The sequence below is a fragment of the Homo sapiens genome, chromosome 12 (assembly GCF_000001405.40).
Source record: "Homo sapiens chromosome 12, GRCh38.p14 Primary Assembly".
NCBI lineage: Eukaryota > Metazoa > Chordata > Mammalia > Primates > Hominidae > Homo > Homo sapiens.
Window position 1 is genome coordinate 71,957,722 of NC_000012.12, and position 16,941 is coordinate 71,974,662.

Here is a 16,941-nt window from a genome sequence, read left to right on the forward strand (position 1 = left end):
TGTGGGTGTGTGTGTGAGGGGACCTCCCAGCTTCACATAAATCATGCACATAGTTTGCTTCTTTAATCTGGAAAATTGCCCCCTCAAAGGCCTTCCCAGGTCAATGTGTCTCAGCCAGAATAAGGTTGGAGGATAAGCTCGCAACAGGGCTATGTTGGACTCATCCCTGAATGGCTCATTTTGGTAAAAATGTTCATTATGTTGACCTCTCAGCTAACACTTTCAGATTGTATTAGGTTCCTTTTCTTAGATCCTGCACTGTGTTAAACGTGTCACTTGATTTTCTGTCATTTAACCACACAACGAGCCCTTGAGGTAGGTGCCATTATTGTACGCACTTTGAAGATGAGGAAACTGATCTTCGGAGACATTAAGAAACTTACTAAAGGTTACACAGCTGATTGTGCCACTTGCATGAAACACCAGGTATAGATGCTTAAAATTCCTCTGAAATGGAGCAGTAAATTGAAGAGCAGAACTGAAGCAAATATTTATAGTACTAGGGTCATTTCCTGGATGGCCAGAATAGTTTCTGAGTAAGGTCACTTTTAGAGGTTCCAAGAATGCCTCTGGTAGAATCTAAATGTCTGCTCAAAAGTCCACACCGTTTTCTTTTTTGTTTTCTGAAGTGGCTTCAGCAACTTCCACTTGACATAGGTGGTTTCATACACAAGTTGGGAATAACAGTGACAGAACTAAGTGACTTGGCATTTGTAAAAGTTATTCTCCTTACAGAATTCTCAGCATATTTGAAATGCACCATCCTTGTAAGTATTTAATACACTTAGAATTTTATGGACTCAGAACTCAAACCAGTCCTGTGACACTGCAAACCTGTTTCTCGCAGGTTGTTGGGGACATCTGCCAGGGTCTGGCATGGCAGAACCATGTCTCCATTCTGTGTGGTGATTTTTCCCTCTCTCCCAGGCCCCATGCTATTCTCCTCCTACCCAAAGCCTGACCCTCGTGAGATACAGAATGAATGGAAATAAACACAGCTGGGCTGAGGCTTGAAAATCAATTGCCAGGGATGTGTCACTCTGGTTTTTACTAGTTGCTAGCTTATCTATTTCTTGATTTTTTTATTTATAAAATTGCACCCTTTGTGATTCATTTGCTCTGAGTGTAAGTACACAGCTAAACAGAGACCCTAAAACAAAACAGCTCCAACAGAGGACTAGCATATCTGAAAAATGCAATCACCAGCTCAGCAGGCACATTCAATTTGGGTGAGCTTGTGAATATTCTACTCAGCTCTATCAGAGAGACAGAGAATTTTCTCCTTTTACATGGAGTGGTGTTGATTCTAACCTTCTATTCTCATCGAAGCAGAGAAGGGCATTTTTTTTTTTTTTACCCTCCTCTTCCTGCTTATACTGCCAAGTACTACATGATGTCAAAACAAAACCCTCTGGGACTGAGATTCAGTACTGTGCAGTGCATTTTAAGATATTTGAGTAGATACATAAATATGGAATGGATGTACCTTGGAATGAACATATTGGATTTCCAAGCCAGCATCTCACTTCTTAGGAGGTCTTCTCAGTTTCCTCTTTCACTAGATGACTCAGCCATAGGTCTGCAAAGAAAAAGAAAGAGACAGATGATCAGAGACTAATAAGGGTAGACTGCAGACTTGGAGTAGAGCTGTTTTGCTGCCCTGCTTCTCGCGTCCTAGTGCTCAGTACTGTGCGCACTAGGGCTTCTCCACTTGCAGGTAGCTGTGACAGTTTAGCTTTGTGTCTGAGCTAGGGGATTACTGATGCTGAGTTTTTCCTAAGAGGCATTTGCAATTATTGCAACTTGCAGAAAAATAACTGGGGTGGCTCTACCTCTCCACCTTTCCAGAAATTTCAGTTGACCTTAGCATTTCTCATTTCATGAGAGAAGAGGCATGATTTATGGATCCTGCTTGGTTTCAGAATGTAGCTTAAAGGAATACATTACTAAAGGAGTTGTGAGTGCCACATTACCTATTTTTAGATAGGCGAATCTTAATTGGAAGCATAACAAGTAGAAGGTAGAGGAAGAATGGAAGGGAAGGTTATGCTTTCTTAACAGGGAAAAAAACTTAATTGGGGGGGGCGTTGCAAGTTTTTCTTTTTAATGATGTTTTCCTCATCAATTTCATTGGCAGGTGGTCACCTTGATGAATTGTAGGCTCTACTGTGATGTGAAACCAAGCTTTAATTTTTTTCCTTTCGCTGCCCTTTTGAGAAGAGGCACCTTAGAAGGCAAATATGTTTTCTCCCTGACTGAGCTAATTTTATCCCATTCCATTATCTTCCATTGATTTGCTTTCTCAGGTTTTGAATGAAACTGAGATATATGTGGCTGTTTGGGTACTTTGTGACTCCTGCATAAACACTAGTTGTTGATGCTTTAATTTCTCTGAAATGAAGCGGTAAATTGAAAAGTAGAACAAAACCAAATATTTGTAGTACTGGGGTCATTTCCCAGATGAATAGGATAGTTTCTGAGGAAGGTCATATTAGGGATTTTTAGAGTGCTTCTCCTGTAGAATTCAAATATCTTTCTCTGCCCAAGATGCCACGTCTTTTCTTTTTTAAAAAATCTGCTTAGCAACTTCCATTTGACATAGGTGGTATCACACACAGGTTGAAAACAAGACCAATAGAATTAAGTGACTTGGGTTTTTATAAAGTTATCCTTCTCTTTACAGAAGTCTTAGTGTATTTGAAATGCACAGTTCTTATAAGTATTTAAAATACTTCAGGCTTTATGGGAGAATCATTTTCATGCCAAGTGTTTCTCTCTACCTGAAGCGCAGCTCAGTGGCTGAAAGGAAGGGAGCCTGAGAGTTGCAAAGAAAGACAAAAGGGAAAATTGATTTGGAAAAGGTTTCTCCTTTTTGCTTTTTGGGCTTGGTGGGTTTTTTAGATGTGTGTGAATGCCTCAGTAGGATGTTGTCTGATTATAGCATGGCTCCCACAGCTGTGGAAAACATTAACGCAATATGGTCCTGTATCACTTACTGACAAGGACAACAGTTGCACCAAATTCTAATGTATTTCACAGGGAAAGAGGTATGAGTATTTTTACTTTAAAATGATTTTCATGAACATGAAGGATTCGAATTACTTCCACAAGTCCTGCTTGAGAGGTGAATGGATTTATATGGAACAGTGCTGTTTTGTCATCTCCAGACCTGTTTCCAACCCTGCAGGGAAGTGATGAAATTTTATTCATTTTTATACACCTGGAGGAAGAGAATCAACTATATTGAGTACCTATTAGGCACTAGGCACTGGCCAGGATGTTTTACAGATGACCTCTCATTTGATCCTCACGATGTGAGAAGTCTTATTTCCCTCAGTTTCGAATGAGGAAACGGAGGCCAAACCTTGATGCTAGGTACATATTGGGTACTCAGTACCTTGTACTGATGTGTATTGGTCAAGAGTGGGGTCTCTAGAGCTAGCCTTCCTATAGCTGAGTCCCCACTATTGTACTTACTAGCTGTTTGATCTTGGACAGATTATTACATTTGTAAGCCTCAGTTTCTTCAACAGTTAAGTGAGGACATGAATAGTCATTTAGTCACTCTGTGGGATAAGCATTATATGACATAATCCATGTAATGAACTATTATAGTATTGTTATTGTCACAGTGAAATGGGTGGGTGAATAAATGAATGCTGTTATTAATTTGCACAAGACCATGAGCTGTAGGATAATCACGCTTCTTCATCTATCACTCTGAAAAAGATAGGGCCTAGTAGTTAGCTGTGTTCTGTCTCTTTCAAACAAGGTGCAAGATGTATCTGATTAAATCTGTGACTCTTCATTCTTTGTGAATCTTCATTCTAGTGGCCCAAGACTGTTAGCTGCTATTGGCGACTGGGAATTTCAGCTCTTTTCTGTATCAAGTTCTTTGAGCTCAAGCTCCTTGTGTATGTTGAGCGTGCACATATTGATGGATGTTAGATCCATTGTTGTTGCTGTTGATATTTAATTTCATGATAGTTTTTGCAGATGAAAATCACTTCTCTAGAATATGAAGAGGACTTTCTGCAAGGTGAGAAAATAGTGGGAAGCCCTATCCTGTGGTGCACAGGACAAATAAAAACAAATAATTTCTAGGAGTTAAATCTTTGTTCTCCCTGAGGCTCCTTAGGTGCAGTAGTTTATTTTCATTACGTCTCTTGTAAAGGCAGCACCAATATTAACAACGCGAACAAAACAAACTAATGTTTTTGTTTGCTCCCATCTGAAAGTTCCTTAAGGCCCGTAGACTCATTTACGAAAATTCATGTGTGCAAAACTCATTTGCAAAAGCAAATAAAATATGTGATCGCAAATGCTCTTTACCTGACTGGCCTAGGGGACTAGCTGAAAATGCGTTTATGCCTTTATGTTTACTCTATGGCGTGGCTTAGCAGTCGTGGGGCTCCTAACCTCCTCTACAGATGAGTCCCCGTCAAGCCACGTATGTCAGATGACTTGAATGTTTTGAAATTCAGGCATCATTTAGATGGTTGTTAAGTTGCTGTACTGATTTGTGAGTTTTTGTTTGTAAAAAAATATTATTAAATCATTGTGCTCTGTAGCCTTGGAAATGTTTTTGAAGTTCATTCATTACAATGTTCAGCCAAGGAAACATCTCTGTATTTAGTTAAGTTCGGACTTTTCTGTCCCTTTGGGTTTACATATGCTGCTTTCTTTCCTGGTGAAAATTTTGGTTACAAGTGTGACTGAGTGATGATGTCTAGATAAGGGTCAGGAAAACTGAATTGAGAAAATTAGAAAAAAGAAACCCTTATATGTAAATTGTACATAGGAATAATTGGAGGCTACCAGAAAGTTTGTTACAATCCTGAATCTTTGCTTTTTGCATAGTAATTGAAATATATGAGGCAAGACAAATACATACCTGCCAGACTCTCTGAGGCATAACTATTTTTTCCCTAACATTTAAATCTGTGTTTTGCTTTAGGCTGATTGATTGATTTACTCACTTAACAAATATTATTTTTTTGTTTTGTTTTGTTTTGTTTTGAGATAGAGTATCTGTCATCCAAGCTGAGGTGCAGTGGCACGATCTCAGCTCACTGCAACCTCCGCCTCCTGGGTTCAAGCGATTCTCCTGCCTCAGCCTCTCTATTAGCTGGAATTACAGGCACACGCCACCATGCCTGGTTAATTTTTGTATTTTTAGTAGAGACGGGGTTTCACCATGTTGGCCAGGCTGGTCTTGACCCCCTGACCTCAGGTGATCCACCCGCCTCGGCCTCCCAGAGTGCCGGGATTACAGATGTGAGCCACCGTGCCTGGCCTGAACACCTCTGCATTCCAGGCTCCACCCTGGGTAGCAGGGATACAAAAATGAACACAGCAACAAAAATCTCTGCCTTCAAAAACTGTATATCCTAATAGGGAGACACATTTAGCAGAGTAATATTTTGAATATTTTACTTTTTGCTTTTTTGCCCCGGGCATTACTGATAATATTTTATCATAAATTTATTGAGTGTCCTTTATGGTCTGAATCCTGAAGTCTAATTTTATCAAACGCAGGACTCCCAGACTTTTCTTATGAATTCTTGGAAGTCAGTAAATAAAAATTACATTTGCTTTACGGTTAAACCTTAATTAGAATTCATCATCAACTCCATTTACTGTGTGTATATATATAATATATATATAGCTATATATATTATATATGTACTAATACTATGTATTAGTGTGTGTATATACATACATATATATATATATGTATGTATATACACACATATATGTACTGCCCAAGAGGCCACATGTTTTCGTTTTTAAAAAATCTGCTTAGTGGCTGGATACTTTGGCTCACACCTGTAATCCCAGCTCTTTGGGAGGCCGAGGTGGGCGGATCACGAGGTCAGGAGTTCAAGACCAGCCTGGCCAATATGGTGAAACCCTGTCTCTACTAAAAATACAAAAATTAGCCAGGTGTGGTGGCACGCGCCTATAGTCCCAGCTACTCAGGAGGCTGAGGCAGAAGAATTGCTTGAACCTGGGAGGCAGAAGTTGCAGTGAGCTGAGATCGTGCCACTGCACTCCAGCCTGGGTGACAGAGTCAGATTCTGTCTCAAAAAAAAAAAAAAAAAAAATCTGCTTAGCAACTTCCATTTGACATAGGTGGTATGACACACAGGTTGAAAACAAGACCAATCGAATTAAGTGACTTGGGTTTTTAAAAAATTATTCTTCTCTTTACAGAAGTCTCAGCATATTTGAAATGCTGAGACTTCTTGTTGAAACCCAGCAAGCCTGAAAAGCAAAAAGGAGAAACCATTTCAGAGAAATTAAAGCATCAACAACTGGTGTTTATGCAGGAGTCACAAAGTACCCAAACAGCCACATATATCTCAGTTTCATTCAAAACCTGAGAAAGCAAATCAATGGAAGATAATGGAATGGGATTTAAAAAAATGTATATATATATGCACATACATACTGATAATATTCTGGGCATATATATACACTTATATATATTAGTATATATATGCTTATTATATATTATATATTAGTATATATAGCATTCTGGCAATATTCAGAAAAAATATATATATAGTTGTTTTGTTTTGAGATGGGGTCTCTGTCGTCCAGGCTGAGGTACAGTGGCACGATCTCAGCTCACTACAACCTCCGCCTCCTGGGTTCAAGCGATTCTCCTGCCTCAGTCTCTCTAGTAGCTGGAATTATAGGCACACGCCACCATGCCCGGTTAATTTTAGTATTTTTAGTATTTTTGTATTTTTAGTTGATGCAGAATATATATATATATTCTGGCAATATTTTTCCAGTCTCAGAGGCATAAGCCATCTTCTTGAATACTCATTGAGTATTTGGCTGTATATTGTAGACACCTGGATGCAGGTGATACTATTTCATGAAGGTGGTACCAACTAATATAGTACTAGGTAACACTATGGTTACTGGCTAAAAATGAGAGTCATCAATTACTGATTGAAATTTCTACACACCTGGTGTGACACCTCAGTTGTGAGACATGCAACAAATGCTTGATAAGAGTTAATTATAAATTTTGTGATGATGAATTTTTTTTTTAACTTTTACTTTAGGTTTAGGGGTACATGTGAAGGTTTGTTACATAGGTAAACACATGTCATGGGGTTTTGTTGTACATATTATTTCATCACCCAGGTGTTAAGCCTAGTACCCAATAGTTTACTTTCCTGCTCCTCACCCTCCTCTCACCCTCCACCCTCCAGGAGACCCCAGTGTCTGTGGTTTCCTTCTTTGTGTTCATAAGTTCTTATCATTTAGCTCCCACTTACAAGTGAGAACATGCAGTATTTAGTTTTCTGTTCCTTCATTAGTTTGCTAAGGATAATAGCCTCCAGCTCCATCCATGTTGCTGCAAAAGACATTATCTCATTTTTTTATGGCTGCATAGTATTCCATCGTGTATATGTACCACATTTTTCTCATGCAATCTGTCACTGATGGACATGTAGGTTGATTCTGTGTCTTTGCTATTGTAAATAGTGCTGCAGTGAACTTCCGCATGCATGTGTCTTGATGATAGAATGATTTATATTCCTCTGGGTATATACTCAGTAACGGGATTGCTAGGTTGAATGGTAATTCTGCTTTTAGCTCTTTGATGAATGGCCATACTGCTTTCCACAATGGTTGAACTAATTTACACTCCCACCAACAGTGTATAAGTGTTTCCTTTTCTCTGCAACCTTGCCAGCATCTGTTATTTTTTTGACTTTTAAATAATAAACATTCTGACTGGTGTGAGATGGTCTCAGTGTGGTTTTGATTTGCATTTCTCTAATGATCAGTGATGTTGAGCTATTTTTCATATGATTATTGGCTGCATGTATGCCTTCTTTTGAAAATGTTCATGTCCTTTGCTCACTTTTTAATGAGGTTGTTTTTCTCTTCTGTTAGAAACTGCAATTACTTTTGCACCAATTTAATAAATTGGTTTAAGTTCCTTATAGATGCTGGATATTAGACCTTTGTCAGATGCATAGTTTGCAAATATTTTCTCCTATTCTGTAGGTCATCCATTTACTCTGTTGGTAGTTCCTTTTGCTGCGCAGAAGCAGTTAAGTTTAATTAGATCCCACTTGCCAATTTTTGCTTTTGTTGCAATTGCTTTTGGTGTCTTTGTCATGAAATCTTTGCCTGTTCCCATATCCAAGAGGGTACTGCCTAGGTTTTCTTCTAGGGATTTTATAGTGTTGGGTTTTACATTTAGGTCTTTAATGTATCTTGAGTGATGAATTCCTTTAAAAGGTTACATTAGATTAAAAATAAGGTTATTCTTATAATAATGTTAGAATAATGTCAACCTCAGTCTTCTATATTCTTAGGTGCTTTCTTGAATAAGAAGGAAAGGGGATAAATTACAAATAGCTCTCTGGAAATTATGCCAAATTCAGGGTATATTTATTGAGGAGTGCAACAAAGGCATCTGAAAAATCAAGAAGGAACAAGAGACCACTAGCCTTGATGTTCCCATAATCTTTCTTCAAAGGCCCTGTCTAAATCTTTTTTTTTTTAAAGGATTCTGTGGTTTTATTGATTCAACACCATAAGTTACACTTTAGAAATTAAGGTATAGTTTACATACAGTAAAATTATACATATTTTATTATACTTTAAGTTCTGAGATACATATGCAGAACATGCCAATGAGCTGCTAATTTCTAATGAGTTGCAAAGTTGATGCATTTAAGCTCTTCTTTGTTTTCTCCAACCGCCAGGTAGAAATGTCAATCAAGACAGAAACACCAAAGGTGGGGAAGGAAAGAAAAGATGAGAGGGACAGTCTATTCCAGGCAGATAAACATCTCTTGAATAAGTGAGGCATCTCCTGCCCTAAGGAACATGTAATGAAATAAAATAGTAAATGAGTTCATTCTTAACTATTTCTATCAGATTCACCCATTCCCTTACCCAATTCTCTGTTATCTTCTGCTCTGTTTGCTCCTTGCCACTGAGAAAATCCGGCTGTTTTCAAAGAACACAATTGGTGTTGTGATTCAGACAGTCTTGCCATCTTGATGTAAATACTATCAATTGCAGCCTGTCACATCTTCCTCCAATGAATAAGTGAATTGCTTCCCCACACTGAAGTTCTTCTAAAGATAACACAAGCTGAGAAACTGCATCTCATATTATGAATTCTAGCAGCAAGGACTCCAGGAGGCAGCCAGGATATAGCATCACAACAGAGTATTTTCCAATTCCCCTAATTAAAAAAAATGTGTAAGAAAAATAGCTTGCTGTTGGACCGCTGGAGGAGAAGATCAAATAATAGTTAAACAAAATGAAATCATTGTTGCTTATTCATCTGGCTGTAGAAAGAACTTCCAAAATTTCAGTCTCAGTGGGGTATATGTCCCTGAATTTCTGAGTCAAAAATGTGTTTGTTAAACAACTTCAGTCTAATAAGCTCAGGACTCACACAAAATAACTGTATCTATACCTGCCCTCAATTAGATTTGTCTATGCACTTTCCACTCCTTCTTCTCTGCAGGCACAAGGCTGGTTTTTCAGAATCATCTCCTTTTCTCTAGGAAGAGTGGGGTTTAACCATACAGGCAGACAGATGCCTCCCACAGCCTTCAATATTCTCAAAGAAAGTTCTTAGTCATCTCTGAGTAACATAATCCACCAGAGAGTTTTCCCTGTTTTCAAGTTGACATCCCCATGGTGACCATCTTAGCTTCTTTCTAGTACTGCCGTCGCTGAACACTGGTTCCATATCGATGCTCATACAATCTTAGTTTGCCATTCTTTGACAAGAAGGCAGAATCTACAGTGAATGGAAACTACTGAAAGTCCCATTTGTTTTTCTCCAGTAAATTAAGAACCTGTGAATTATAATTTTGGTGGTTGTTGAGAATGCTGTAATCCTAACAAATTCCATATAAATGCAGGAGACTTTCTAGATATCCAATTATAATATTTACATATAATTAGTCTGTTGAGGAGTATTATCTTGTAGCAACATAAAATGGTTTTATTTTTCCCACTCTTTACTTTCAACTGTATTGAGTTGAATTCTACTTTCCTGCTGGGAAGCAAGTTCCTTAGCAACATCTAATTTCCTGTCATTTTCAATTATTAGTATAGTCTCATTTGGGTATTTAAGACCTGGTCTTTTTCATTTAAAAAATATTAATCTCAAACTTGATTCAAAGTGTATCCTCCCTCTCCCGCAGTTATTTGGAGTGAATGTGTGTGGATGTGCATGTGTTTTTTGGGGAGTTCTCTGGTTCTGAGACACTTTTCCTTCCCTTCTCTAAGACCTATTTCTTCTAGAGTTGGGGGCTGCGAGGAGGGAGGGAGGAGGCTGAGGCCCTTTTACATGCTTGCTGGAATGTCAGTGGTGAGTAGGTCTCAGGCCACACTCACCCTGGTTCTGACAAATCCCTTTCGATAGAGTGTTCTCTGCTGAAATGGTGTTAGGCATAGTTTTCCTGGGGGAGACCACTCCCTCACCTCCACAGCTGCAGAAATGTGCTCTGCCTCCCTTGGCCTTGTCAGTGACATACCATAGCTGGGGCAGCCCTCAGAGCTTCTTCATGACGGTGATGGGGACCACTGTGGTGTCTTCTGCCTCCTGAGAACTGAGCAGAACTGGATGGCGTGGGACTTTTCCATCTTTCTCGCAGGCACACCACATTGGGTCCCACATAAATGTCTAGACTTTGCTGGGCATTAGACTTCATGTTCACGTGAACCTCAAATTTCAGAGGACGTATGTCCAGGCTCCCCGTGGTACACCATCCTCCCAGGCCTCCAGACACTCTCCCAGGGACTGTCGGTCCCCTGCTCTGAAGTGGTGGCAGCACCTGGAGGCCTGGATCCTGCTGCCCAGTAAGGGTCCGGTTGGGAAAGAAAGTGCCCTACTCCACTTCTCGCAGGTGCGCTCTCAGGGAGCAGCCTGCTGTCTTGACTTTGAGAGGAGGAAAGAAACTGCCCTTTCCCTCAAACACTGACCTCCTCACAATGCTGAGCATCTCTGATTCCCTAGTAGGCTGGTGGATGAGGTCTGGGGAGAGTGTGGTACAGGTGGTACAGGAGGAATTTGTTGGTGATAGGGCCATTTGTGCTGCCTCTCACCAAGCCCTGTAAGGAGATGGTTGGCTTCAGCTGCTGGGGAATTTCTCTAGAATGTGGAGTCCTTACGTAACTTTAGTTTTGGACCAGAGCGTAGTTGTAGGATGTTGGAATATGACTTCTGTTATATATATACATTACAACATAGGCCCATAGAAAGATGCATAACGGGCCGGAAGCGGCTGGCTCACGCCTGTAATCCCAGCACTTTGGGAGGCCGAGGCGGGCGGATCACGAGGTCAGGAGATCGAGATCATCTTGGCTAACACGGTGAAACCCCATCTCTACTAAAAATACAAAAAATTAGCCGGGCGTGGTGGCGGGCGCCTGTAGTCCCAGCTACCCCGGAGGCTGAGGCAGGAGAATGGCGTGAACCCGGGAGGCGGAGCTTGCAGTGAGCCGGGATTACACCACTGCACTCCAGCCTGGGCGACAGGGCAAGACTCCATCTCAAAAAAGAAAGAAAGATACATAATGATATACAAGGATATATCGAAGGCCTTGAAAAGACCAGGGCACCCCTCTGGCTCCCTTCTCATACGTGATTTACAAAAAACCCACTAACCCATAACAAATTCAAAGAAATACAACACATTCTGATTTTCCTCATGACTATGATTTTTTTCTCAAATGTCAAATTTCAAAGTCCTAAAAAAATGTGAGTGCCCTGCATTCCTGGTGCCCCAAACACATGTTTGTTTTGTTGAGGAGCCAGGTAAAACCTCACAGTCTTACTGGGAAGGTTAAATGAGTGAATAAAGATGAAAGTACTCTTTGTGATCTACAAATATATCCTACTATGACATATAATTGTATATGAGATTTTCTACATATGAATACACATACCTATAAACCTTATTTTAGTTTGGTATGTGAAAAATAAGTTGGGATGTGAAAAATCAATTTTACTCCATCAGTCTGGAGTACAATTTTTCATTTAATTTGTGTATACTAATCCATTAAGATTACAGCCAGTCTTCAGCTAGACTGACTAGGTTTTAAGCCTGAATCCATGATTTTAGACAAGCAGCTTAATTTCTCTGAGCCTCACTTTCCTCATCCATAAAATGGAGATAATAACAGTATCTACCTCATGGAATTGTGAGAATCAAATGGGCCAATTCATATAAAAACACTTAACCTTAAACATATGCCTGGCACATAGTAAGCTCTCAAATATCAGCTGTTACTGTATGCTTGTATTAACTACATAGAAAAATGGAAAATTTCTGATTTTTTCTGTATTTTGGATATTTTCAACAGAAACGAAGTAGATAAAACTAGTATTTACTTTGAGATCAAATTGATTTTTAAATATTTACCTTAAAGAGTTACCTGGGGTGTGGGGTTAGAGTGGTATGAGAAATCTGTTGATATGACCGGAGGCCGACTTACTTGGGTTTAGGGTAGGAGCAGTGCATTGCACCGGTTTTTAACTCAAAGAGCAGGACAAGTTATCCAGGAGAGACAAACAGAACAGTTGACAACATACATGACCACTCATATTCCCAAGACTGCGAGGCTGGAAGTTCATTATTAAGTAACAGACCTGTATAACAATTTCTTCCTATCCTAATTTACACTTGATCTCATTCTGCCTGTTGAATATTCAGGTCCCCTCTGAAGTGCTGCATGTTTGCAGATTGATGTTGAAGGGAAAATTTTGACCTAACGATTCTTCTCAAGTGGCTTCTCAATATTTCCTTTATTGTCTCAGCCTCATTGCTTTCCTACCTTCTGATCATGCACAGCCCTTATTAGCTTTACTGGCTTACCCAACTCAAACAGATTTAGTTGAATTTTCTGGAACCAGAGGCAGACCATTTATATACTTATTTCCTTACATCTTTTCTATTTTTGTCTTTTCATTTCAAGCTTTCATTCTAAATTCATCACAGGTGTGAGGTCTTAGAAGCCTTGATCTTCCCAGCAAATATTTGCCAGGTTGTAATTTTTTATTTGTTATCAACAGCCAAATTTAAACAAGGCTAATCTTGCTCTAATTTGGTTTGTGGAAGACCTAGTCTTGGTATTCAGAGAAAGCAAATGTGAATTTCTGTTTTTTTCTTCAGTATGTGTTATTCCCTTATCCCTCATGTACTGCAATTAATTTTTTTTAAACAAAAATAATTTGGGGGCAGGAGAAACTCCATTTGGACCTGAACTTTAAACAGAAACTATTTTGCCGAGAACACTGAAATATGTAGAGGGTTGGGGAGGAGGAAGGCAGCTAGGGGATCTGTTTGATAGCCTATTCTTGTTATAGTCCTCTATCTCATTTTTCTCTACCTCAGGGGTGCTACTGAATGATCCTAGCTCATTGAAGATGCCCCTCTCACTGCAGCAACCCTGAGTGACAGTTGCTGTCTATGCATGGGTTCCTGTAGTGACCACCTGCTACAGGCTGGATTTGTAGATTGCAGGGGCACAACTCCTAGTTTTACGTGCATATGTTTGGACTTCCATATGTTGTACGTGTATATTTGCTAATTGCAGAGGCAGAATTTCTGACACATGGCCAGGGTGGGAAGTGAGGGCGTGCTGCAGGTGGCTGTTGAGTATGTCATGAGAGGTTTTCTCAAATCCTGAGTTTCAGAATAGGTATCTTAATCAGAGGCTAAATTCAGATTTGGGTCCCTCAAGCAATAGCTTACAAAAGCACATGTTTGTATTCTCCTCCTTCTACCCATCCCTGGTTGCAGCACGAGGTATATTCCTTGCCTGTGGCTGCTGGCTGCTATTATATTAGAGCACCAGTTTCTCCTGACTTTCTTTTTGTCGGAACCTGCAGGTCTTTACCTGGCCAAGAAGTCTCAACTCAAGTTGTGCCTCCTCCAGGAAGCTCTCTCTGACTACTTCAGTCCAGCACGGTGTCTCAATATTCTAAACCAGTCACTAGTACACTACTGTTTATGGGCCAAATAAAGACAATTTTTATTAAAATACACCTATATCCATTTGTTATTGTGCATGGTTGCTTTTGAGATATAGTGGCAGAATTGAACAGTTGTGACAGAGACCATATGACCCACAAGCCTAAAATATTTACTTTTTGGCTCTTTACAGAAAAAGTTTGCTGACCTCATCCTAAATTGAGGGGGCTTAATGTGTGTATCTTTCAGCATGACCTGCAATGAATGCTCCTTATTTTTTGGTTTGCAAAACTTTCACTTTTAAATTCAGCATAGTCTTTCAGTATCTCCCAGACATTTTGGACACTGAACAAATAATCTCAAAATTACACTTGAAGATTGGAGTGAGTCTGGGCAAGGGACAAAAAGAACCCATAAAGCAATTTTATTTTTAAGAGAGAAAACATTTATTACTGTTGTTAGGTGTTTGCAGAAAATGCTCTCAGAGAATAGTTTTGTACCTAAACCAGTTCCTTCCAACCCGTAACTATTACTTGTTACTGACCTCAGTTTAAGAACATAAATCTTATCACATTTCTCTAAGGATGCATGAAGATATAACTGAATTAAAAAATAATTTATATGGAAATTCAAATACACATGCACAACATTAGAAGGTTAGCATTTGCTTTAAAAAATAATACTTAATGGGATCCTTTCAGACGCTCATGTGCTCCACTTTGCCAGGGTCTGACTTGTGATAGGTATTGAGGTGAGAAAATACTTAACTCAGTGATTCAAAGTTAGATTCATTTAGTTTCTTCTCTCCTGCCTAGTGGTCAGCCCATTCCCAGGGTGGAGTATACTGAAGAAGAAACTAAAACTTGGGGTGTTGTATTCCGGGAGCTCTCCAAACTCTATCCCACTCATGCTTGCCGAGAGTATTTGAAAAACTTCCCTCTGCTGACTAAATACTGTGGCTACAGAGAGGACAATGTGCCTCAACTCGAAGATGTCTCCATGTTTCTGAAAGGTAAGATTTCACACAGGCTGTCTCTTATTAGTCAATATCCTCAATTGCCTTCCAAGGACACAGGTTGCAGCAATGGCTCTTTTTCCAAAAAAGGAAAAACAGTGATTTAAAAAATTGTTGGCTTTGAGCCAACAATTACCTGCGGCCACCTGTGGGAAGCAGAGCAAGGGACTCAGCTGCTTTTGCAGCTCAGGAGCTTGCTGAGGCCTCTTTGTGGCTGGTTGTTGTAAATGGTAAGGCCCAAAGGATATTTGCAAGTTCAGCTCTGAGCTTTTTCTGATCCAGGAGCTGCTGTGCTGGGCTACATGAGTATGAAATGACCTCCAAAAGTGCCTTTTTATTTGCTTTGTTAAAAAGTATGTACTGAATGATGATATTTTATGGATAATGTTGAATATTAGTGACTTTCCTCTAGGAGAAATCAGGCAACTGTCAGAGACGTTTGGACCAGAGCAACTCCTTCTTGAATAGGGGCTGGGTAGAATCAGGCTGAGACTTATTGGGCTGCATTCACAGGAGGTAAGGCATTCTAAGTCACAGGATGAGATAGGAGGTCAGCACAAGATACAGGTCATAAAGACCTTGCTGATAAAACAGGTTGCAGTCAAGAAGCCAGCCAAAACCTATCAAAACCAAGATGACGATGAGAGTGACCTCTGGTCATTCTCACTCCTCGTTATACACTAATCATAAGGCATTGGCATGCTAAAAGACCCTCCCACCAGTGCCGTGACAGTTTACAGATGCCATGGCAATGTCGGGAAATTACCCTATATAGCCTAAAAAGGGGAGGAACCCTCAGTTCTGGGAATTGCCCACCCCTTTCCTAGAAAACTCATGAATAATCCATTCCTTGTTTAGCATATAATCAAGAAGTAACCATAAAAATGGGCAACCAGCGATCCATTCCACAGCTCTGCCTATAGAGTAATCATTCTTTTATTCCTTGACTTTCTTAATAAACTTGCTTTCACTTTACGGACTCACTCACTTTGAATTCTTTGCGTGAGATCCAAGAATCCTCACTTGGGGTCTGGAATGGGACCCCTTTCTGGTCACACAACTAGTCAATAAATCAATCAACTAATTGATCAATACTTTACATTATAATTTGTGTGTCAGGGATTGTACTTGTTGCTGATGTTACACTAGTGAACCCAATGAATCATACAGTGACATCATTTCACACTCTCTGTGGGTCCCTTCACTGACAACACCTCCTTGGAACAATAGCTGGGAAATAGGCTTGTGAGGGGTTGGGGGAAGAGGCAAAGTTTCACGGTGGTCCCGCTTTCTCCTCTGTTTTTCCTTGTGCTTAAGTCCTTGGATTCTCTGCCCTTTTCTCTCTCTTCTTTCAAGTGCAGTAGTTCCAAAAGCAAAAACTTCATTGCCTGCTCTCTTTCCTGGAACTTGCTTTCTTGCTTGTCTTCTCAGTTTCTATCAGTACTGTTTTTTCTAAACTCATCAGGCTTGCCTCTAAGGACTCCCCTGAATTCCTACCCACTTTATCCCCCAATCCCATACTCAGTCCTTCTTTGTGTTAGTGTCCAATTATAGCTGTAACAACACATTACCACAAACTTTGTGACTTAAAACAACACGAGTTATCTCACAGCTCTGGAGCTAAGAAGTCTAAAATCAGGGTGTTGACAGGGCTCATTCCTTCTGGTGGCTTCTGTGCCCTGGCCTTTCCCAGCTTCTAGAGTCCTCCTGCATTCCTTGGCTCGTGGACTCTTCTTTGCATCACTCCAACCTCTTGCTTCCATTGTCACATCTCCTTCTCTGACTCTGACCCTTCTGCCTCCCTCTGATAAGGACTCTTATGATTATATTGGCCCCACCCGAATTATCTAGGACAGTCTCTCCATCTCAAGATCCTTAAGTTAATAACATCTGCAAAGTCTCTTTTGCCATGTAAGGTCACATACTCACAGATTCAGGAGATTA

At 40.0% G+C, this 16,941-nt stretch overlaps 1 protein-coding gene across 2 annotated transcripts in view, besides 1 other annotated feature; it reads left to right on the forward strand.

The window, feature by feature from the left end:
* Positions 1-16,941, forward strand: part of TPH2 (tryptophan hydroxylase 2) — a 93,596-nt gene that overhangs the window by 18,877 nt on the left and 57,778 nt on the right. The window contains exons 6-7 of one of the 2 annotated variants that reach the window (XR_001748575.2): positions 3,832-5,092; positions 6,657-7,769. Coding sequence is in view for 1 of the 2 variants with exons in the window: in NM_173353.4 (NP_775489.2) it covers positions 14,798-14,994 (197 nt within the window). In the remaining variant the exon portion in view is untranslated. Of the gene's footprint in view, positions 1-3,831; positions 5,093-6,656; positions 7,770-14,797; positions 14,995-16,941 lie in introns of those variants that run through there. The other variant, NM_173353.4, reaches the window with a different exon arrangement.
* Positions 931-1,432: an enhancer, noted in NCBI's record as "NANOG hESC enhancer chr12:72352432-72352933 (GRCh37/hg19 assembly coordinates)". NCBI's record gives its function as "activates a minimal SCP1, AML or CMV promoter by ChIP-STARR-seq in naive H9 embryonic stem cells {active_cell/tissue: H9 hESC(naive)}" and the evidence as "EXISTENCE:reporter gene assay evidence [ECO:0000049][PMID:30033119]".